Source organism: Homo sapiens, chromosome 4, assembly GCF_000001405.40.
Source record: "Homo sapiens chromosome 4, GRCh38.p14 Primary Assembly".
Classification (NCBI taxonomy): Eukaryota; Metazoa; Chordata; class Mammalia; order Primates; family Hominidae; genus Homo; species Homo sapiens.
Window position 1 is genome coordinate 130549063 of NC_000004.12, and position 25511 is coordinate 130574573.

A 25511-nucleotide genomic window follows, 5' to 3' on the forward strand; every position below is an offset into this window, starting at 1 on the left:
TCAGCTCACTACAACCTCCATCTCCTGGGTTCAAGTGATTCTCAGGCCTCAGCCTCCTAAGTAGCTGGGACTATAGGCACGTGCCACCATGCCCAGCTAATTTTTTGTATTTGTAAATAGAGACAGGGTTTTGCCATGTTGGCCAGGCTGGTCTCGAACTCCTGATCTCAAGTGATCTGCTCGACTTGGCCTCTCAAAGTGCTGGGACTACAGGTGTGAGCCACCGTGGCCAGCCTCATAATTTTTTTTTTGAAGTTCCACAATAAAAAAAATCCTTGCCAACATTATTATTAAGTTTTTCAAATATTTTAACAAGTAGATCATGAATTCTGAACCATATTTTTATACCAATATAAACGAACTAAAATAAGACAAGATTATTAAAATAAAAGACAATTGCATGGCAATATCATTCATGAATACAGATATAAAAATACTTCACAAAATATGAGCAAAACAAGCCTAGCTACAAAAAAAATAGATAATATATCATGATCAACTTAGGCTAATTCCTGCAATGAAATGTTGGTTAACATCTGAAAATCAATCAACACAATCCTACATTGTTTCATTTATTCTAAAGGAAGAAAGCAATATAATTACCACCAGGAATCAGGTGCATACATCCACCAACTATTCATGATGAGAATTCATAGCAAATGAGAAATAGGAGTTATCTTAGGTAAGTACCCTAGAAAAAACAAGAATCTCTAAGACTTGTTTCTAATACATAATTCATATGCATATGCTTTATTGAAAACCTGTTCTTCCAGGAAATACTATAAAGGAGAGAACAAAAGCTGGGGAAAGGACAGAGCAAAGATGAGTTTTCTGTCAAAGATTAGCTTTATTGTCATTCATAGGTAGCATCTAGAATATAAACAGCCAAATTATTTTTCTCTCTTGAAACAAGATAGCTGGGCTTCGAATCTTTATATCATTGAGTTTTCTGCTATCAAATGGAGTATAACCTTGCATATTTCTGTATGCAAGCAACCTTCCCTTAGCCAAATGCAATGTTCTGGAGAAGATCTCAGGATTTAGCTATTAGCCACAACACTCGCAGCAGCAAAAATAATATTTGGACCATGAACTAAGCATTCATTCTTGTAAGAAAACATCTTTAATGTGATAAAGTTTATCTACAAAAAAAATCCCTCAGCAAATAACATATTTAGTTGGCAAATATTTTAAGTTTCACTTTGGGATCAACAATACACCTATCATCATATACTCTATATTGTATAAGAATTCTAAGCCGGTTAAATAAGAAAATAAAAAATTTTCTTTTTATTTTTGTTTAAGTTGTAGATTTGTATAAAGTTGGGTATATGTTTGTTACAGCTGGTTAATATATATTATTTTTCTAAATCATATTTCAGAGGAACTGTATCCTAAAGTAATATCATTGTATAAATTACTATCAAATCATGTAATGATAACTTAAAATCAACAGACAAATATGACTTCTGACAATTTATAATAAGAAAATGAAAGTTCCTCATTAATTAAAAAATATATTATATATATACATACACACATATGCACAGATATTAGTGTTGTGTGTATGTGTATTTGTGTTTTTTCTCCAAATTTTAAATCCTGATAAAAAAGAAAAAATACAAACTGAAATCAATTATATCTAGTATTTATTATGGACCAATTTATGCAATAAATAGAAGTATCATGTTTCCTATAATTTGCTTTTTAATGGTTTTATTAAATTTTACAAATATGTCACAGAATGTTTTTATTGTAATTTATTATTTATTTACTTACTTTTTTTTTTTTTGAGACAGAGTTTCGCTCTTGTTGCCCAGGCTGGAGTACAATGGCACGATCTCGGCTCACCAAACCTCCACCTCCTGGGTTCAAGCAATTCTCCTGCCTCAGCCTCCCAAGTAGCTGGGATTACAGGCATGTGCCACCATGCCTGGCTAATTTTTTTTTTTTTTGTATTTTTAGTAGAGATGGAGTTTCTCCATGTTGGTCAGGCTGATCTCGAAATCCTGACCTCAGGTAATCCCCCAGCCTTGGCCTCCCAAAGTGCTGGGATTACAGGTGTTAGCTACCACGCCGGCCTTTTACTGTAATTTTTTAAATCTAAGGAAATTAGAGAAAGAAGCACTTTTCATTCAAATTCATACTGAAATATATCGTTTTTTTACATTTAAGCTTTCTTGTTAAAACATGCTTTGCACATATAATACTAAACTGAACCACCAGATTGAAATGAATATTGGATTTAGCATAGATTTATATTTAAAGTTTTTTATAAACTAAGCTTAAGGGAATTCTGGAAACATTTGATTATATTTCATGTAATATCTGAACTTTCTTAGATAACTGAAAAATGATAAAGTAGAAAGCTGTGTTACAGAACATATTCAAATAAGACAATATTTGGCTAAATAAAATTGCAGACTTCTTTTTCTAGTCATAATATATGTATTCACACATATATACGCATGCATATATGTATCTGTGTATGTATGTATAGCTGCATATCAACACATAAATGTATACATACACACACATAAGGGGGAGATGGTTCAATTTTGCTACCACTTATTTTTTCTCAAAATTTACTAACAAAACATAATACAAATAATACATTTAGAAAATTTAAGCACAAAAATATTGAAAGATACAATTGACAGCAATTTTAGTTGTTCATTGCTGCTGTAACAAATTAGCACAAGCAGTGATTTTTAAACAACATATTTTATTATTTTACAATTCTGACATAAGTCATTTGAGAGGGCTAAAATCAAGGTGTCAGCTGGCCCAGTCCTTCAGAAGGCTTTATGGTCTAATTTATTTCCTTGCCTTTTCCAGATTATAGATGCTACCTGCATTCCCTGGCTCAAGTCCTCTTTTTCCAACTGCAAATCTAGATACATAACATCTTTTCTTTTTTCTGACTTCTGCCTCTGCCCTTCTCTCCTTCTCTCTCTCTCTCTCTCTTTCTCTCGCTCATCCCTCTCTTTGCCTCACTTCTCTGCTTCCATAATCAAATCACCTGTCATGTATGTGATCCTCCTACATATGTCTTATAAAGATCTTTGTGATTGCATTGGTCCCCGCTAGATAACCAAGGATACTACCCCCATCTCAAAATCCTTCACTTAACCACATCTTCAAAGCCTTTTTGCAATGTGTGGCAATGTATTTACAAGTTATTGGGATTAGGACATAAACATTTTTGTGGGGAGGCTGTTATTCAGTCTGCCATAGCTACATGACAGCTATTTCTAAGAAAATAATAGTCATGCCAAATAGAAAATTAACTGTCAGTCCTATGGGGGAAAAAAAAACTTTCAAATGATTTTGCAAGAATTAAATGAAGTTCCTAAAAATGACATATTTCTTACACAAAACCTTAATGCTAACCTGATGTCAATCTACTTAGAAAGATAGAAGCCTTTATAATAGTATTTCTATACGTAAGCTAAATTACTAAAATAAATCGAAAATTAAGACATGAAATTAATTAAACTTACTGGTGGAAAGTAAAATAAGTGAAACATCTATAGAACCAAAGCAAGCTCAATAAAAATTTAAGTTGTTTTGTGGATATTAACAAAGTAGTTCCAAAATTTATACGTAAAGACAAAAAAACTCAGCCAAAAATAACATTAAAAGAAAATGACATCAGAAGACTGAGACTACTCAACTTTAAAACTTACTATAAAGCAACAGTAATCAAAACAGTGTGGTATTGGCAAAATAACAGATAAATAATTAAAAAGAACCAAGTAGAAATTCTGGAGTTGAAAAACACAATTGACAGAGTAAAACATGCATCAGAGTCTCTTTTTTTTTTTTTTGAGACAGAGTCTTGCTCTGTCACCCAGGCTGGAGTGCAATGGCGCAATCTCGGCTCACTGCAAGCTCCACCTCCCAGGTTCACACCATTCTCCTGCCTCAGCCTCCTGAGTAGCTAGGACTACAGGTGCATGCCATCACGCCCAGCTAATTCTTTGTATTTTTTAGTAGAGACAGGGTTTCACCGTGTCAGCCAGGATGGTCTCGATCTCCTGACGTCATGATCCACCCACCTTGGCCTCCCAAAGTGCTGGGATTACAGGCATGAGCCACTGTGCCCAGCTCATCAGAGTCTCTTAATAGTAGAATTGATCAAGCAGAAGAGAGAATTAGTGAGCTTGAAGACTCACTGTTTATTTATTTTTTTTCAAATAGCCTAAAGACCATAATGACATTGAATATAAATGTACTAGACATTCCAATCAAAAGATGTTGAGCGGCAGAAGACAGGCTGTTTGAAAATAAATGGTTAGAGGACACAAAATAGAAAAGACTAAAAAAGAATGAACCATGCCTACAGGGTCTAGAAAACAGCCTCAAAGGGCAAATCTGAGAGTTGTTAGCTTTAAAGAAGAAGTAGAGAAAAAGATAAGGGTAGAAAATTTATTCAAAGGAATAATGACAAAGAACTTCCCAAGCCTAGATAAATATATCAATATCCAAGTACAAAAAGGTTACAGAAAACAAAGCAGATTTAATCCAAAGAAGATTGCCTCAAGGCATTTAATAATCAAACTCCCAAAGGTCAAGGTTAAGGAAAGGATCCTAAAAGCAGCAAGAGAAAAGAAAAAAATAATATACAATGGATGTCCAATACATGTGGCAGCAAATTTTTCAGTGAAAACTTTACAGGTCAGGAGAGAGTGTCAAAACATATTTAATGTGCTCAATGAAAAAAAACCTTTTAACCTAGAAGAGTATACCTGGTTAAAATATTCCTCAAACATGAAGGGGAAATAAAGACTTTCCCAGACAAAAAAAAAGCTGTGGGATTACATCAACACCAGACCTGTTCTACAAGAAATGCTAAAGAGAGCACTACAATCAGAAAGAACGGTTTATTAATGAACAATAGGACATCCTGTGAAGAAAGGCCAGGCGTGGTGGCTCACACCTGTAATCCCAGCACTTTGGGAAGCCAAGGTAGGTGGATCACTTGAGGTCAGAAGTTTGAGACCAGCCTGGCTGACATGGTGAACCACCATCTCCACTGAAAATATAAAAATTAGCCAGGTATGGTGGCACACACCTATAGTCCCAGCTACTTGGGAGGCTGAGACATGAGAATCACTTCAACCTGGGAGATGGAGGTTACAGTGAGCCTAGATTGCACTACTGCACTCCAAGCTGGGAAACAGAGTTAGACTCCATCTCAAAAAAAAAAAAAAGAAAAAAGAAAAAAGAAAAAAACGCATTATGTGAAGGTATAAAACTCACTGGAAATCAAGTTTGCAGAAAAACACAGATTATTATAACACTATAATGGTGGTATGTAAACTACTTTTAGCCTAGGTAGAAAGACTAAAAGATGAACCAATCAAAAGTAGTAACTGCAACTTTTCAAGACATAGACAGTACAATAAGATATAAATAGAAATAACAAAATGCTAAAAAGCAGGAGGATGAAGTTAAAGTATACAGTTGGTATTAGCTTTCTATTTGCTAGTCAGTTTGTTTATGCAAGCAGTGTTAAGTTGTTAACAGCTTAAAATAATGGGTTATAAGATAGCATTTGCAAGCTCCATGGTAACCTCAAATCAAAAAACATACAACATATACACAAAAAATATAAAGCAGGAAATTAAATCATACCACTGGATAAAATCACCTTTACTAAAAGGAAGACAGGAAGAAAGGAAATAAGTAAGAGAAGACCACAAAATTACCAGAAAACAAATAACAAAGTGGCAGGAGTGAGTTCTTACTTATCAATAATAACATTAAATGTAAATTGACTAAATGCTTCAATCAAAAGACGTAGAGTGGCCGAATAGGTAAGGCAAGATCTAATGATCTGTTGCCTACAAGAAACATACTTCACCTATGAAGAAACACATAGATTAAAAATAAAGGAATGGAAAAAGATATTCCTATTTCGTGCCAATGAAAACCAAAAAAGAGCCAAAGTAGCTATACTTAAATCAGACAAAACAGATTTCAAGCCAAAAACTGTAGGATAAACAAGGAAAGTCATTATATAATGATAAAGGGATCAATTCAGCAAGATAATATAACAATTTTAATTATATATGCACCCAACATTGGAGAGCCCAGATAGCAAAGTAAATATTATTACAGCTAAATAAAGGTATAAACCCCAATGCAATAATAGCTGGAGACTTCAATACCCAACTTTTAGCATTGGATAGATCTTCCAGAGAGAAAATCAACAAAGAAACATCTGACTTAATCTGCACCATAGACCAAATGGACCTAGTGAATATTTACAGAATATTTCATCCAATGGCTGTAGAATGTGCATTCTTCTCCTTAGAGAAGAATGGATCATTCACAAGGATAGACCATATGTTAGGTCACCAAATAAGTCTCAAAATATTCAAAATACTGAATACTCTCAAGCATCTTCTCTCACCACAATGGAATAGAACTAGAAATCAACAACCAAGATGAATTTTGGAAACTATACAACACATAAAAATTAAAAAATATGCCGCTGAATGACCAGTGAGTCAATGAAAAAATTAATAAAACTAAAAAAATTTCTTGAAACAAATGATAATGGAAACCTGATATATGAAACCCTGTCAGATACAGCAAAAGCAGTACTAAGAGGAAAGCTTATAGCTATGAGTGAGTGTGTACATCAAAAAATAAGAAAAACTTTAAATAAACAAACTAATGATGCATCTTAAGGAACTAGGAAACCAAGACTGAAACAAACCCAAAATTAGTAGAAGAATAGAAATAATAACAATTAGTGCAGAGATAAATGAAACTGAAATGAATAAAACAATATAAACTATTAATAAAATAAAAAGTTGTTTTTTGAAAAGATAAAATTGACAAACCTTTAGCCAGAAGAGTTAAAACCCAAAAACTAAAATCAGAGATGAAAAAATGAGGCATTACAACTGATATGATATAAATTCAAAGGATTATTAGTGGCTAATTTGAGCAATTATATGCCAATATATTGGAAAATCTAGAAGAAATGGTTAAATTCCTAGACACATACAACCTACTAACTTTGATCCATGAAGACATCCAAAACCTGAACAGACCAAAAACAAGTAATGAGATTGAAGCTGTAATAAAATATCTCTCAGAGACAAAAAGTCAAGGTTCCAATGGCTTCACTGCTTAATTCTACCAAACATTTAAAGAAGATCTAATGCCTATCCTACTCAAATTATTATATAAAATAGAGGAGGAGGGATTACTTCCAAACTCATTCCACAAGGCCAGTATAACCCTGATACCAAAACCATATAAAAAGAGACATCGAAAAAAATAAAAATAGAGACCAGTATCACTGATGAATATATTGATGCAAAAGTCCTCAACAAAATATTAGCAAACAATTCAACAATACATTAAAAAGATCATTTATCATGACCAAGTGAGATTTATCACAGGGATACAAGGATATTTCAACATACACAAATTAATCAATGTGATGCATCGTATCAAGAGAATGAAAGACAATATCCATATGATCATTTCAATTGATGTTGAAAAATCATTTGCTTGAATTCAGCATCACTTCATGATAAAAACATTAAAAATTTTGGTATGAAAGAACATCAGTCAACATAATAAAAGCCATATGTGATAGACTTTTAGCTGCTATCATATTGGATGAGGAAAGGTTGAAAGTCTTTCCTCTAAGATATGGAATGCAAGGATGCCCACTTTCACCACTGTTATTCAACATAGTACTGGAATTCCTAGCTAAAGCAATTCAGACAAGAGAAAGATATAAAGGGTATCCAAATTGGAAAAGAAGAAGTCAAATTATCCTTGTTTGCAGATGATAAGATATTATATTTGGAAAAACCTGAAGACTTCACCAAAATACTATTAGAACCAATAAACAAATTTGGTAACGTTGCAGGATACAAAATCAATATACAAAAATCAGTAGCATTACTATATGCCAATAGCAAGCAAATTGGAAAAGAAATCAAGAAAGTAATCCCATCTACAACAGCTACGAATGAAATAAAATACTAGGCAATTAACTTAACCAAGAAGGGAAGATGTCTACAATGAAAACTACAAAGTATTGATGCAAGAAATTGAAGAGGACACAGAAATAATGGAAAGACATTCATGTTCATGGATTGGAAGAATTAATATTGTTAAAATGTCTCTACTACCCAAAACAATCTGCAGATTGAATGCAATCTTTATGAAAATACTGGTGATACTCTTCACAGAAATAGAAGAAACAATTCTAAAATTTATGTGGAACCACAAAAGACCTAGAACATCCAAAGCTATCCTAAGCAAAAGAAGAAAACTGGAGGAATCACGTTATATGACTTGAAATTATACTATAGAGTTATAGTAACCAAAATAGCACAGTACTGGCATAAAAAGACACATGGACCAGTGGAATAGAATAGAGGACCCATAAATATATACATACATGTATTGTAAACTCATTTTTGACAAAGGTGCCACAAACATACATTGGGGAAAGGACAGTCTATTCAATAAATGGTGCTGGAAAAACTGGATATTCATTTGTAAAAGAATGAAACTAGACCTCTGTCTCTCACCATATACAAAAATGAAACCAAATTAAATTAAAAACTTAAATATGAGACCTCATACTATGAAACTACTAAAAGAAAACTGTGGGGAAATTCTCCCAGACATTGGACTGAGAAAAGATTTATTGAGTAATAACCCACAAGCACAGGCAACCAAAGCACAAATGGATAGATGGGATCATATCAAGTTAAAAAGCTTCTGCACAGCAAAAGAAACAATCAAAAAAGTGAAGAGACAACCCACAGAATGGAAGAAAATACTTACAAACTACCCATAATAAACAGAATATATAAAAAGCTCAAACAACTCTACAGGAAAAAAATCTAATAACCCAATTAAAAATGGTCAAAAGATGTGAATAGTTATTTCACGAAAGAAGACATACAAGTAGCAAACAGGTATATAAAAAGGTGCTCAACATCACTGGTCATCAGAGAAATGCAAATCAAAACTGCAATGAGATATCATCTCACCCTAGTTAAAATGGCTTATATCCAAAAGACAATAAATAACAAACACTGGTTGAGGATGTGGAGAAAAGGGAACACTCGTACACTGTTTGTGGGAATGTACATTAATACAACCATTACGGAGAACAGTTTAGAGATTCCTCAGAATCTAAAAATAGAGCTACTATGCAATCCAGCAATCCCACCCCTTGGTATATACCCAAAAGAAAATAAATCAGTATATCAAAGAAATATGTGTACTCCCATGTTTACTGCAGCACTATTCACAATATCCAAGATTTGGAAGCAATCTAAGTGTCCATCAACAGACGAATGGATAAAGAAAGTGTGGTGCATATACACAATGGAATACTATTCAGCTGTGAAAAAGAATGAGATCTTGTCATTTGCAACAACATGGATGGAACTGGAGGTCGTTATGTTAATTGAAATAAGCCAGGCACAGATAGACACATTTTGCATGTTCTCACTTATTTATGGGAGCTAAAAATTAAAACAGTTGAACTCATGGAGGAGCTAGAGAGTAGAATGATGGTTACCAGAGGCTAGGAAAGGTAGTGAGCAGGTCAGGAGAAATGGAAATGGGGAAGGGATGCAAAAAAATTAGAAAGGATAAATAAGACCTAGTATTAGCTAGCACGACATGGTGACTATAGTGAAAATAGTTTAATTGTACATTTAAAAATAACTAAAAGTATAATTGGACTGTTTGTAACACAAGAGATAGGTGCTAGAGGTGATGAATATTTTGATGTGATTATTTGAATTTTCATGTGATTATTACACATTGCATACCTGTATCAAAATATCTCATGTAATCCATAAATATATACATCTTCTACGTACCTACAAAAATTAAAAATTAATAACAGAGGAAGCTTTGAGTGGGGCACAAATGAGGCGGTAAATGGAAACTGATTTATCTTCAATTTATCCGTGAACCTTAAACTGACATAAAGAAGAAAGTATCTTAACAAAAAACACAACGAAATATGAAACATGTGGGTGGTGTTAAATTTAATAAAAAATTTTACAGGTTCCCAATTTTACATCTTTGTTCCTAATGGGTATGGACAGCAGTGTCTTGGCTTTCCAGTACTAACTGCCAATGTATGTGATTAAATCCTCCCTCCATTCTATGTGATATTCCCTAGTTAAGTATTTTACCTTTTGGAAATCTCTCAGTTTTGTCTGCTAAACAAGACTCCTGCCCCTCCTTAATGTTTTTATACATATTTATGTATTATTTGCTGTTCAACATTTATGTCAAAGGGTCAATGTATGAAATATATGTAACATTGTGACTCAGTATTCACAAGCACACATGCATGCACATGCTCAAATGAAACACAAGTCTGTCAACACAATGTTTAATCCTATTCTGATGCTTTCTATTCTATTGCATCATAATCTTGTAGCTCTTATTCTATTTCTTACTGTGAAAATGCTGGTCCTAGAGGTAGACCGAATTGATTTCAAAATCCACTGAAAGTCATGACCAAGTATATAAAAACTGTATTATATAAAAAGAGCATTAATTTTGAAAAGTTTACTGCCGAGATATTACAGTCGTCTCTTGAGATCTATGGGGGATTTGTTCCAGGGTCCCCGGTGGATAACAAAATCTCCGTATGCTCAAGTCCCTTAAATAAAATGGCATAGTATTTGCATATAACCCGCACATTTCCTCCCATATACTTTAAATAATCTCTAATTTATTTATAATAACTAATGCAGTGTTTACACATCATTGCGTAGATTTGACATAGTAATCAGAGAGCTATGAATTCAAGTTTTGCATAACCTCCTGGGATTTGTTTTCTGAGTATGTTTGATTTGAGACTGGTTGAATACATGGAAGTGTAACTCAGGGATATATAGGGCCAACTCTATTTCCATACCTCTAATCTCATTCTCTAAATTAGAGTAAGTTTTCTTTAGAAACTCTTCTCTTGAATGAACCTAACAGTCTCATTCCCAAATCTCTCCTTAAACTTTCTGCACATTGGACACTGCTGACTTCATATCCTTTTTATTAATGTTTTTCCTTCTCATCCCATTGTAATTGTCATGTTTGATTGTTCTGCTTTAACTCAACCCAAAACTTTCTGGCACCTTATGCTCCCATTTTTTTTACATGGAGGCATAAACAATCTTATCATTAATCCCTCTGTTAATTGAAATTCTAGCTCTTTTCCTTAAAGAGTCCATCTACATTCACAGTGCTAAATATCACACTAACATTGTAGCTGTAAAATGTTTGATTCTTGCCCTAATGTTTCCTTGGAGTTTCATCTTCACATTCTACTTATTTGACATTTTCTTGTTAATGACCATATGTAATTTCAAATTCTCCCTGTATTAAGTCAAATAAATGTCTTTGCCTCAAAACAAATGGTTTCATCTTACTTCCCTGTTTATCTACCATTATAAATCCTCAAGTTAGACATTGCTAAATAAAGTTGACTTTTTTCCTTCTCTTTTCTCCAAGTAAGCAATCAGGACATTTAGTTTGCTGTTTTTCAGGATATTTCTCAATCAATTTTTTCCAATTCCCACTGCCACTTTCTTGCCTATTAACTCATTATTCTATGCCTGGATTGCTGAACTGGTTTTCTGAATAGTCTTCTGACTTTCAATTGTTTTCATTACTATTTGTAATTCAGACAGCATCTAGACCAATCTCTAATAACAGATTAGTCTAGCAAGCTTCTTAAATGTATCAGTTGTCCATTGCTAAGATAGTCTTAGAATTGAACTGAATCAAACCTTTCACAAATATTTCAAACGCATTCTTAAAGCCATCATGAAATGTATGATATTTTTATTCTGAAATGTTCACCCTATTCTTGAAAAACTACAAATATGAAAAAAAGTGTTTTTAATCAAATTTAAATACAGATTATCTATTTTTATTTTCTCATATTTAGGTTTTCTTTTTCAATCAACAGACATGTTTTCCCTCCTAGTTTAGTTCACCAGATTTCATTATTCCTTTTAGACTGTGTTGCAAGCATTATTATCAACATGTCTTCCATTCTAAATGCAAATCGACATACCTTACGTTTAAGATGAATTCTTTGTTTACACTTGTACTTCTGTATTCTAATTTTGCCACCTTAATTAATCTGAAATTACTGACTTAGGAGTTGATTTGAATCTTTTTCTTGTCAGATAAGCAATTTGGTGAACATGAGTAGGTTAATAAATATGTAAAATGCAAACATAACCAATTTTAAAAATCAAAATTATATTTTTTATAAATGGATAGCAAAACTGAAAATTGTGTAGCTAAGCAACACATGTTTAAGTAAAGATCATAATATTCTATGGACTTCATACAGAAATTGCCATGAACATTTTATGCACTTTAGCAGTTTCTTTTTTAAATGATGAGACACTTCTTTTGGAAGTTAACCTTCAAGAAACTGCATTGAATATAGCTAAATGAGAATGTATTGTAACTTATCATAAATAGCATTACTTCATAAGACAACATACTGCTGATATAGTTTGGATATTTTTCCCCTCCAAATCTCATGTTGAAATTTGGTCCCCCTAGCCTGGGCAACAAAGTGAGACTCTGACTCCACAAAAAAAAAAAAATACAAAAAATTAGCCAGGCATGGTGGCACAAGCCTGTAGTCCCAGCTACTCTGGAGGCTGAGCTGAGAGGATCACTTGAGCCCCTGGAGGTCAAGGCTGCAGTGATCTCTGATTTCACCATTGCATTCCAGCCTGGGTGACAGAAGAAGACTCTGTCTCAAACAAACAAACAAAAAAAGAAATTAAAGATTTTCCTAAATGTAAAATTGATAATGCTCATTGTAGAAAGTTTGCAAAACAAAAGAATTTTTTTAATTAAAAGTAGGCTACAATCACAGCACTCACAGGTGATCACTGTTAACTTTCTGATGTGTTTTCTTTCAGATATATAGTCAGTTATTTAAGTTAATACATTTGGAATGTTGTAAAGAAAAAAAGAAAAAGAAATTTGGTCCTCAATCTTGGAGGTGGAGCCTAAAGGGAGGTATTTTGGCCATGGAGGGAGAGCCCTAATGAATGGCTTGGTGTCATCCTCATGATAAGGAGTGAGTTCTTACTCTATTAGTTCACGATGGAACTGGTTGTTTAAAAAACCTGGCACCTCTTGCCTCTTTCTCCTCCCTCCTCTCTTGCCGTGTGATAGCTGCTCCCGTTCCCCTTCTGCCATGAGTGGATGCTTCCTGAAGCCCTCACCAGAAGCAGACGCTGGTGCTGTGATTCTTGAAAAGCCTGCAGAACCCTTAGCCAAATAAACGTATTTTCTTTATAAATTACCCAACCTTGGATATTTCTTTATAGTAATGCAAACAAAGGCAGCTGCCCAGAAATGTCATTTCTGAAAAATAAAAATTGGCCTTATCAAATATTTAAGAAATAATATGTCTTTTCAGCAATGAAATTCTTTTAAGCTTCACGGTTTTGTAATACTAAATGTGGGATAAGATAAATGCATTAAGATAAAGGCAAATGCATTTATCTTAATAATATTTAAATAGGGAAATAATTTCATAAACCTATAATTACTTGATAAATATATGGATTATTATCATTAAATATAATTTTGCAGGGAACCAAAATAATCTAAGTAAAATATAACCCTTATATCCTCTCGCTTACATTCTAACAAGAGCTAAATTTTCAGTGGGATGGCATAGTTCAGGGATGGCATAGAACAAAGAGTGGAGATCAACTACATAGGAAAGAAGTAGACTAGGTAAGTTTCTTGCAGAGAGGAATAAGAATTGGAGGCAGCCAGACAGCATCAGGGAGCTCCAGGTTGAGAAACAGGTAGATATTTTATTTAAGTGAGTATTGCATAGAGAAGGAGGCCTGCTGAAAGACAGTGTTCCCTTAATGAAATGCCAGAAGGGCAAAAGAGATCCAGGCACCAGGATTATCTTTAAGAGTGACAGCATGACTGAACCCTGAAAAAGAAACTCAGTAGGAAGAAAGGATCTACAATGGAGCATGAGGATCAATAGTTTCTTATTGCCAGCCGTGTGCTAAACATTGGCCTAAGTATTTTGAAAAAGTCATTGCAGTTAGTTAAAAATGCAAGGATTTATGTTTTTGTAGTATTTAAAACTAAAAAATAATAATTAAAGCTCACACAGAAAAATGATAGTGTGAATATATTCTATCTTTTTCTTGTTTCCCCTCTGTTCACCGCCAGCAGGTGGGACCAAGCTGTCACTGCAGCAACCCAGAGCTCTCCAGGACTGAGGCTGTGGGCTCCTTGGATGTCTCTCAGCAGAGCCTCTTTCTTCCTTCCATTTTCCTTCAATTTTTCCTGACTTGTAAATAAACAACGGAGGGGCTGTGGAGTGCATGCCACTTCCTAGTTGCAATTCCTCCTTTAACTTGTGCACCTTATTACTGGCCACCAGCAGAGCCTCTGCTGTCAGGGTAGCTGCCCACAAAAGGAGCCAGTCTGTCTCCACCACTAAGAACCCGGCTTCCTTGCTGATCATTTGCAATTTTATACCCTCTGTCAGGCTACACAAGCCTGCTGGATTCTGGAGCTTTTGGGGTATCTCAGCACTCCGGGGCAGTCTGCAAGCAACAAGCAAGGGGGCAGCAGAGCCCCACGTAGACTCCTGAGGCCATCGCTGGATCTCCCTGCCAGTTTCATTTTCCCAGCCCATTTCCTTGGAATCCTGCTGCCCACGCGATTGCTTCATCCCATAGACTGTGCAGCAGGAGTGCACAAAACTGAAACTCAGAGGCAGAGAAATTATCACAAGGGAGTGTCCCAAACAGAACTGAGATGGGGAGGTTGGGATTCCAAAGAAAGAAGCACTAAATGCCAGGGTGATCAGTCCAAACAAAGCATTTATTAAGAGCACTTATGTGGAGAGTGGCTGCAGCAATGCTCCTGACAGACGGGGGGAAAAAGGATGTTCTCCCTAGGTATGTCCACAGTAAGGGGGTCACAGTATGGAGTTTACATGAGGGCTTAAGGAATTTGGCTCAGGGATGGGGCCAGTTTCTCTCTACTAAGCCTAGATTTCTTTGTTAGTGCTTGAAGATGTTCAAGACTGCTGAAAAAACCTGCAGCTGGCTGGGTCACAGAGTGGTTATGACACTGTGATTCTTTGTCAGGACACAGAAAGAAAGTGGAGGGATCTGGGAGGACTTATATCTTCATAACCATTCTTCTCTTAAATTAAGGCATGAGATTTATTGCCAGAGACAGTAGAGGGTCTCTGTATCAGGGCATTATATACTCTATGACAGACAATTTTTATTTTTTATTTTATTTATTTATTTTTTGAGACGGAGTCTCACTCTCTTGCTCAGACTGGAGTGCAATGGCGCGATCTCAGCTCGCTGCTGCCTCTCCCTCCCAGGTTCAAGTAATTCTCGTACTTCAGCCTCCGGGGGAGCTGGGATTATAGGTGGGTGCCACCACGCCTGGCTAATTTTTGTATTTTTAGTAGAGAAGGGATTGCGCTATGTTGGCCAGACTACTCTAAACCTCCTGACCACAAGTGATCTGCCCACCTCAGCCTCCCAAAGTACTGGGATTACAGACTTGAGCCTCCAGGCCCTGCCAATGGCAGACAATTCTTTTGAGTTCTATCTACAGCAGAGCTGCTCAATAAGACTATCTACAGTTGTGTAAACTTTAATTTTAAGTATTTCTAATTTAGTCACATCTGGCTAGTGGTCACTGTATTGGAGGGCACAGCATCGTATACAGAAGGTTTTCCTGTCCGCTGTTAAAGTTTAGACACGAAATTGGTATCATGAAAAAGGTTAATACGACATTGAGGAAGCAAAAGGAAAACTTACTAATTCTGAAACTAGAGACATTTTGATGGAAGAAGAAAATAAATCTCCCTCACTAGATTTGGTCTAAAGAGGGATGTATATTACATAAATATGGGAAGCTTTGTATAGAAATCCTTTGTACCCCAAATCTAATAAGTGTACCTTTGATGTCGTCCTCAGATCATATGTGGTAGAACTATAGCAAAATAATATTAGTAGTAATATTTGGTCCCTGTGATTTCCCTCAGATATTTTAATATGGTCATTTGGAAAGCACGTATCTTGAAAGTCTCAGACAGGACTAGGCTTAACATGTGGGGTGATGTAAATTGTTAGTGGCGGCTCAACGTGCTTCACCTAGGTGAAGATTTCTGATGAGGGACACTACTGATACTTTGGGCTGGACATTATTTATTTTATGGAACTGCTCCTGTGCATAAATGTTATTTAACACCATATTTTTAGGGACTAAATTCATATGTACAAATGTATATATATGAATATACCAATGTTCTGTTCAATCCAGAAAAAAGCTAGGTAAGAAATTACCAACTTTGGCATCAAGTGCCAGCACATTGCCCAGCAACAAAGATGTACCAGAGGACACAGTCAGCTACCATCACAAGTTAATTTAGCCTACCTACATTTAGACTCTCTACTCTCATATACCAAGACACAATATTTTAGAAAGATGGAGAGAGTAGATGGAAATAATAACAAATATTTTTTTCCCTTGACAACACAGAGCATTTTCTCAATTTAAACAGAAAGAACTAAAACCTCATATTTCTACTACCCAGCAAGTAAGAGCTCATGAATAAGATAAAATTAGTTATTTTATTATCTATATAATCTAGATCAGATGCCAGCAAACTATAGCTTGAGTGTCATATCTGGCCCACTGCCTATTTGTGTAAATAAAGTTTTATTGAAACACAACCCAAATCATTTGTTCATATATTATGTATAGCTGCATTTGTGCTATAAAAGCAGAGTTAAGCAGTTGAAAAAGGGACTGTAGAGCCCACAAAAATCTAAAATATTTATCATCTGGCCTTTTGCAGAAAAATTAAATTATACTGCATTACAACTAGCCCACAAATATCAGTAGCTTAATGCAATACCACTCTACATCTTGCTAATGCTTCATGTCTAGTACAGATTGATGGGATTTATGTTCCAAACCACTGATCAAAAATCTAAGCTGATGGAGCTCAAGCCTCACGGTATATAACCCATGATCATCTTGAATGACACAATAGAGAAAGAAAGAGCTGGAGGGTTGCATAATGAGTCTTCAATATTTCTGGTTGGAAATGACATAATGCACTTTCATTCACAATCCATTCCCCAGAACTAAACACAGAATCTGCCTAACTATAAAGGGAATAGGAAACGTTGACGAGCTTATGAATATTCAGAGAATAGTAAATGGCTCTGTAAAAGTTATAAAAAAAAAATCGAAGCTATATTTTTCTACTCCTCTATTTGATATGGAATAAATTTCAGTCCTGACTGCATGTCATATTCTGAGATATTTTTCAACTTTATTGTATTAGATTTTTATATCTTTTTTAATTGGAAGGTTATTTGTTTTATATATTTTATATAAATCATATATACCTTATATAAGATACACTACATATTTATTTATGAACTAGATATGTAGATATATAATAGATATTTGTATATATGTGAATGTATAAAAAATTTTTTTGAGACAGGGTCTTATTTTTTCACCTCAGTTAGAGTCGAGTAGCAATCATGGCTCACTGAAGGCAAGACCTTCTAGCCTCAAACTATCCTCCGGCCTCAGCCTGCTGAGTAGCTGGAACTATAGGTATGTGCCAGCATACCCAGCAAATTTTTATTTTATTTTATTTTACTTTTTGTAGAAACAGGGATGCAGATATACTACTTTCTTGACTTTTGTGTTCTTAAAACACTTTTTACTTTGTTAGTTATTTCTATGAATAACATCTTCTGAGTCAGAGATGGCTTTTCTAGGTTTCCAGGATTATTTCAATATTGCCTGTCTTTTCATGCAAATTTCAATTAAAAAAAAAAGTCAGATCTCAAACTCGCATTCTAATCTGGATGCCCCAATGTCTTTGTGCAGACCTAGCTTTGCTGGAATCATTTATTAACATTTGGTAAAACAGCTGGTTTTGAAACCATCTTCTTCCTTGTCTAGAGCTTCCCAAGTTCTTTTGATTTTCCTCTTCTCTCTCCATTCCTTCATAGACATTATCTTATTATGTCTTAAGGTAATTGGTCACTTCCTTTCCAACTACTGTGAACCCTAAATATCTGAGAGAGGTCTCAGTTAAGTTAGAAAGTTTATTTTGCCAAGGTTGAGGATGTGTGCCCATGACACAGCCTCAGGAGGTCCTCATGAAATGTGCCTAAAGTGATCAGAGCACAGCTTGGTTTTACACATTTTAGGGAGAGAAGAGACATCAATCAACATATATAAGATGAACATTGGTTCCGTCCAGAAAGGCGGGACAACTTAAAGCAAAGATGGGACAACTTGAAGTAGGGAGGAGGCTTTCAGGTCATAGATAAGATTTGTCAGATAAGAGACAAATGGTTGCATTCTTTTGAGTTTCTGATTAGACTCTCCGAAGGAGGCAACTAGATATGCATTTACCTTAGTGATAAAAGAAGGAGGCAACTAGATATGCATTTATCTTAGTGATAAAAGGGGTGACTTTGAATAGAATGGGAGGCAGATTTGTCCTGAGCAATTCCCAGCTTGACTTTTCCCTTTAACTTAGTGATTTGGGGGCCCCAAGATTTATTTTCCTTTCACAGTTTCCCCCTTTACTTTTTAAAAATTTTTTGGAGAAAGCATTTTAGAAGAGAATGAGTCTCTTGTCTCAGGTTTCATCTGATCTCTAATTGCTAGGACAGTTAATTCATAGATAAGTGGGTCCTGATTTATTAGGAAAGGTCATTTTTAGCAGGTTATGAAATCTCATGTCTTATGAAGAGAAAATAGGAGGAAGAAGGGAGGGAAACAACAACAACCAAAAGAACATTCCTGGAAAATCAATATAGGCCACATTACTCTGAAGTCCATAAATCATTAGGCTTCAGGTATGAAAGTGGCTTGTGTATGTAAATAGGTTGCTGTTACTTTCTTCTGAAGTCTAACTTTTCTAGCTTCAGTTCACAGGGCTTTACAAAAGCACAGCCTAGCTTTCAGTGACTCCAAATTAGCAAAAATGTGAGAAAAAAGAAGAAAAATAATAAAAACATTGTTTTGAAGATTTGTAGCCAAGAAAAATTAGAATTCGGGCCAAACTGTAGAAAATAATAAAAATTGAAAAACATTAGGGAAGACAAGACTCTAACAACAGGTGTACTATAGGTATTTGGAACATAATTTTTCTGTCTCCAGTTTCCCATTTTCCCTGAAGACAAATCATGCTAGGACTGACCTGCTTTATTATACTTGGCTTCATTATTTATATACATGTATCAAGAATAATTATTTATTTACATAGGCTTTTAAATTGACTTTGATGGAACTTGGTTTTATAGAAGGAATCTCAGGTAAGGCTTTCTTAAAGCCAAGCCTAATCATAGATTTATACTATTAAATACCTACAAGTTGGATGAGACTTGGGGCTCCTGGGCCTGTCAGAAAGTGACATTTTTACTTACCACAGGTCAGGAACCCTTTACTGGGACTGTATAGACAAGGGATGAGTCCAGCTTTCCAAAGAGGCTTTTATTGGCACAAGTCAAGATTGATACCATAAAGGAAAGCACACCATTCCAAAGCCTTGGTAAGATAACCAGTTTTTCCAATTGTGTACTGTGGCAAATAAAAACAAATTCTATACTGTGGCAAATAACATAAGTTATTTGCACTTATGCTAATAACTGTATTGCCATAAATTAAGAATAGTCACCAATAGTTTCCAAATTCTGGAGAAATTAGGTAGACAGAAACGAATATGTTCTACATTTTGTTCATAGGAGTATACTAAATTTGTAAAAGCTGTTAATAGCTCCAAAGAAAAGTTCCCTTGACTTTGAAAAAACAAAACAAGGGATCAGCAACATTGTAAGCAGAATGTCATAAAGATTTCTTCAGTCATCTATTAGTTCAGTCATATAGCTAATTCCTGTTCTGCTTGATACTCATGAAAATTTGAGCTCTCCATGAGTCCTGAAAGTTGTTCTCCTATTCTGATGTCACAGCCTCCAAAGTTATCAGAAACTTGTATTTAAGAGCACCTGTTAGAGTTTTATAGCTGATTATAAATCCTCTAAAGAGGAACAAAACAGTGATTGTCAGTGGTTGACAGTGATTGTCAGTGGGTGACAAAAAGTTTTAGGGCAGCTGTAGTCAAAGACACAACTGGCAAATAAATTTGTTACCTCTGTGGCAAACAACAATTTAATATAAGAATTGTAATTATTACTGACAATGTACACTAAGTCATATCAGAATTACAGGAGTCTCCCATAATTTTAAAACACATACCCAATAACATATTTATATAAACAGCCCAAAGACAACCAAACATCATATTATATTTGGCAATGTTTCTTATATAACTTTTATATCAAATAAGCCAAATTGTGTCATTTTTTAACTTTAGGGAACCTAGTATCTAAAAGGATTAATTAGGAAAGAAAAAGACATAATTTATAATTTCATTTGGAAAGTTTGTCAAATATCAAAAGTTAAAAACACCTGATATCACAGGTCATTATAAAACAAGTCATTCATTTGACCAAAGTGATAACTCAAGAATTAATTAAAAAGGTCAAATCCTTCATTCTTTGAGAGAGGAGACTTAATTTTCCAAAAAATAAGCACTTATAAAACAGCATGAAATTAATTAATTTTATTTTTCAAAATTTTATAATCTATAAAATATTAATTTTGACCATAAGATATAACTTCCATAAGCCTTTTATAACCTTTAATATCTTTATTTTTTATCAATTTTTTTTTTAGACCAAGCCTCGCTCTGTTGCCCAGGCTGGAATGCAGTGGTGTGATCTCAGCTCACTGTAACTTCCACCTTCCAGGTTTCAGTGATTCTCCTGCCTCAGCCTCCCGAGTAGCTGGGACTACAGGTGCCTGCCACCATGCCTGGCTAATTTTTGTGTTTTTAGTAGAAACAGTTTTTCACCATGTTTGCCAGGCTGGTCTTGAACTCCCAACCTCAGGTAATCTGCCAGCCTCTGCCTCCCAAAGTACTGGAGTTACAGGCATGAGCCACTGTGCCTGGCCCTTTAATACCTTTATTAAGGAGTTGGTTAATGCTTCAAAAAAAATCTTGTTAATCTGACAGTGGGGTCCATATGCTGGCCTTGCATGAGTGTCCTGTTGACTTTAATGATGAATTTATAGATAAACTGAACTTCTTTTATCTTTTAAAATTGGCCCTTACAGTCTCACATGCCCACCTCTTCCATGATAGTCCCTGGGCCTCGAGTGGTTGCATAGCTTTAATTCCTGGCCCTGTGTCTTAGGAATGCAGTTTATTTTTATTGGGGTCTCCTACCGGGTCTGAAGATAAGGCTTTAATTGCTATCAGTGTTTAAGATTTATTAGGACTTGGCATCCTTTTTCCACCCAGGAGTTAAAGCCCTGTAACTCAAAGTCACAGGGAATTAAAAGCACATACAGAAAGATACATGAATGTAATAACCTTAATATTTTTAAAAAATTTTAATCTCAGTTTTTTTCCTAAGCAAACTAAAACTTAATAATAATGGCATGGAAATTGTTTCAATAAACCATAAAATCCATTAGACCGGTTACCAAAGCCGAAAGAAAAGACCTTCTTCATTGCACAATATATTAGGTTGGAAGAAAACATTTCCTTTAGACCTTTAAGAAAACATTGTTAGCATTAAGCCACAACATACAGAACTCGAGGAAAAATCTTACATGAGCTAACAATAAGTTGAAGGAGAGCATTACTATTTTGAGCTGTTTAAAAGGGGAGAGAAAACCAAAACCAGTGAGAAGCAATAAAAGTTGAACTTTGGGTTAAAAAAGTTGAAAATATCTTATAAATTATTAAAAGTAAATCAATCCCTTTAAAAAGTCATTGTTCTAACCAATTATTTAGTGTATACACATATATATTTTTTACATCAAGCCCAATCTTTAGAAAGACCATTATAATTTTCCTTTAATAATAGACAACTTGATCATATAAAAGGGTTTTTTTGTTGTTGTTTTTTTTTGTTTTTGTTTTTGTTTTTTTTTTTTGTCTAAATCCTCTTACTGTGACTTACACTGACCATTCATGATATGCTTCAACTTTCTGGTTTGTCCTGAACATCCCTCTTTCTTAAATAACCAGTCATTTTATTCTAGGACTAAATTTACCACACAAGCTTCTTCTTTTATATAAAATTATTTGTCTTTAAACTTTCTTAACAAAAAATTAGCCCCTCTTTATTCTTATAATTTTCTTTACATATCTCTTATTTCTTGATTCCTTTTACCTTGTTTAATACATAACCTTTAAATGTGTTTTGAATTAGAACAAAATTGTTCACCTTTTTAAAAAGGACACATTTATTTTTAGAATGAATGTCTTTCTACAAATAGACTTTTATTAGAAAATACCCAAATAATGAAATATCTTTTGTTCAACTTAATATATCTTATGATTCTAAATTATGATAAGTTTGACTACAAGTATTTATCCCATTATATTTACCCAATTCTTTTATTTTAATCATTTACCTAGATTATTTATGAAAATTGCAGTAGTCATCATTTAAAGTTATGGCAACACCATTGCAAAATTATAACTGAGACAGTTAAAAATATCTGGTCTAACTGACTCCATGTTGCTTTTAACCTCCAAGATGTTCTTGTTCTTCCCTAGGTGTAGGCAGAACTAACTTTGGGAGGAACTTAGCTTATAGTTTAGCTTTGAAAACAATATGATAACCTTCCTTTTCCAAAACAAACCTTACTGCTTGTAGACTAGACTGCCTAAAGGGACAAGATTAAAAGTTATGGTAATTTTACAAAATTCAAGCAGTAGCTATTCTCATTAAACCAATATCAATGTCTTATTTATTAAAAAATTACAGAAGCAAAGATTATTCGTTTGGGGTTGGTTTATAGTTTTGTAACCCTTATGCCGAATTTTAACACCTTATAGCATTTTATAGGGATAAGTATGAAATTGCCTGATTGATAAATGCAAACAAAAATGTATTCTGGCAATTCTTAAGACATTTTTAATATTATTGTACTTTACCAATAGTTTTAAAGCTAGCTTACTTGTTAAATATTTTACTTGTTAGGTAAACTTGAAAAAGCATTTGACTAGTCTTTTCTTTTTTCCTGATAAACTATTTGATTCTAGCACTTTTGTTTTCTTAAGCCAATTAATTAGAGCTCTTTTATATATTTTAAGTAGTGAAACATTGTGTACACAACACATAAATAAATAGACACATTAGGCATGCAGATAAAAGTAAATCTTAAAGATTTGCTTTCCATTTTAAACTTTCAGAATTCATGATAACCTGTTTAAATAGGTAACCTGTATCAATTCTTGATAACCCTAGGCAGTTGTCAGCTAAATAGTTTTAAGTTTGCATATTAAAAGAAATAACTCAGGTGAAAGTAAGATAGCAAAATTTACATCACAAATTATAGAGAGAAAAACTTTGGTATGCTAGAGGGAAATTAAAATGGATTTAATTGCCAATTAAACATGAAATTATAAAGTCTTTCTAAATATAAACACATACACACACACACACACACACACACACACACACACACACACACACACACACACAGAGAGATCCTACAGCTTTTACTTCAGAACTTTAGCCACGAGATAAATAAAAATTTACTGACAGAAAACTTGTTGGATCCAAAATGTGGTTTTTAACTTAATAGAAAAATAACGCCAAATTTAAAGCAGGCAGAAAAGAAAATAGAGAAAAAAAGAGAACTTACGAACTGTAGAGTTTGCAGGTTGAACTTAGGCCTCTTTTTCCGTATTGTAAATGTGCACCAAGACCATATTACTTCCATTTTACATAAACTCTGGAAGTAGAGGTGTCATAAAACCTACAGAGTGCTTGAAAGGGGGTCATTCTCCATGTTTTCTCCTCATTCTTAGATTATTTGTTTCCCACATTTTTATTTCTTAAAGGGAGGAACTGAGCATGGCCTAGGGTTTTTGTGTGGTGGATCAGTGTTTGCTGCTTGTGGGCAGGACTCCACAGTGTGTTACCACTGAGTTGTTTCTACCCTCTTATGTGTAGAGGGTAGTTTCTCTCTCCAGCTTCTCTCTCCAGAGGTCTGTGCTCTGAGAGGGTTGGAAACACCAGGTGATCATCCCTTATATATGTTTCCTGAAGGAGCCTTTTTTAAAAAAATTAATTTTTATTGGGGATTTCCCTGCGGGGCCACTGCACATCATGGGGGGTCAACCCTCCCGAGACACTCCCATGAGTCCCCTGGTCACCCAGGGGTGCCTATTGTCTGGGAGGAGCAAAATGCTCTTTCTCTTTGGAGCTGAGAAAACTCAGTCTCTCATTTACCTATGAAAACAACAGTTCAGTTCCTCATGCAAATGCACACAGACAAGCCAAGTCAAGATTAATTTTACAAGAAAAAGCAAATAGGGAAGACCCTTTAGAATGCATCTCATAACTAGAATTAGGATCCTTAAACAACGACTTCCTAGGAGGGGGAAAAACAGCCAAGACCACTTTCTGTAAACTGTGCTCAGCCACCCACTACTTTATAGCTCTCATCTGCCATTACACACACCAAGGTCAAATCCTCTCACAGTACAAGGTCATCTGTGAATACCCCCAAAGCCAAAGAAGTCAGGTAATGCAATACAGGAAAATAGAGCTTTAGACCTAAAAAGAATCTGCCCAGGACACTTGAAACTCCACAAAGAAAACAGAACACCCCAAAAGGGGTGAGTGGTGCCTTTGTTTTGAATTATTTAAAGGGGTTGAAGTCATCAGAAACCTTCTCTAGACTTTTGGTACTACAGATGGCAAAAGAGGGAAGGAGGTATAAGGTGGAAGAAAAGTAAACAAAAGAACATATGTATTTTTTTTTTTCTGAGACGAGAGACAAACCCAGAAACCAACCACATGGTTTTGGGGTTTTGTTTTGTCTTTTTTTTTTCTTCCTCTTTTGCAGCTGCAAGAAATTATAACCAAAATAGAGAAGCTTTGTTACCCATACTTTGGAATTGTCACTCAGATTTGACAAAGTCAGGTAGAATTGGTTAAATCTGATGGGAGAAAGACCAGAACAAACAACAACAAAAGAAACCAACAATATGATTACTGAGCACTCTAATGGTAAGGAGAAATTTAGACCAGCTGGTTGTTAAAAAGTTACCCAAGACAAAACCCATTCAGCTACTTACCTAGTGATGGGTCTCAGGCTGAAAACTGCTTCCTACCATCCTAAAAGCAGAAAAAAGAACTCGAAGTCATCTTCCCTGCTGGGAGCGAGCTCAAACTCCATAAAGGAGTTACCTGCCTTTCATTGTCATGGAAACAGGAAATCTTGCCTTTCTTATTGGAAGCAAATAAAACTCCCCCCACCCCCACTCAAAAAAAGGCAAAATAAACTTTAAATCTCAACCAAATTTTGGGAGATCAGGG

The 25511-nt window shown here is 34.7% G+C and overlaps 2 annotated features.

Moving 5' to 3' along the window:
- Positions 358-527: an enhancer, noted in NCBI's record as "experimental_74536 CRE fragment used in MPRA reporter constructs". NCBI's record gives its function as "activates a minimal promoter by MPRAs in K562 erythroleukemia cells, with activity observed for both the introgressed and non-introgressed 4:131470660 variant alleles {active_cell/tissue: K562}" and the evidence as "EXISTENCE:reporter gene assay evidence [ECO:0000049][PMID:34662402]".
- Positions 14532-14826: an enhancer, noted in NCBI's record as "tiled region #6093; K562 Activating non-DNase unmatched - State 13:Ctcf". NCBI's record gives its function as "activates a minimal TATA promoter and a strong SV40 promoter by Sharpr-MPRA in K562 cells {active_cell/tissue: K562}" and the evidence as "EXISTENCE:reporter gene assay evidence [ECO:0000049][PMID:27701403]".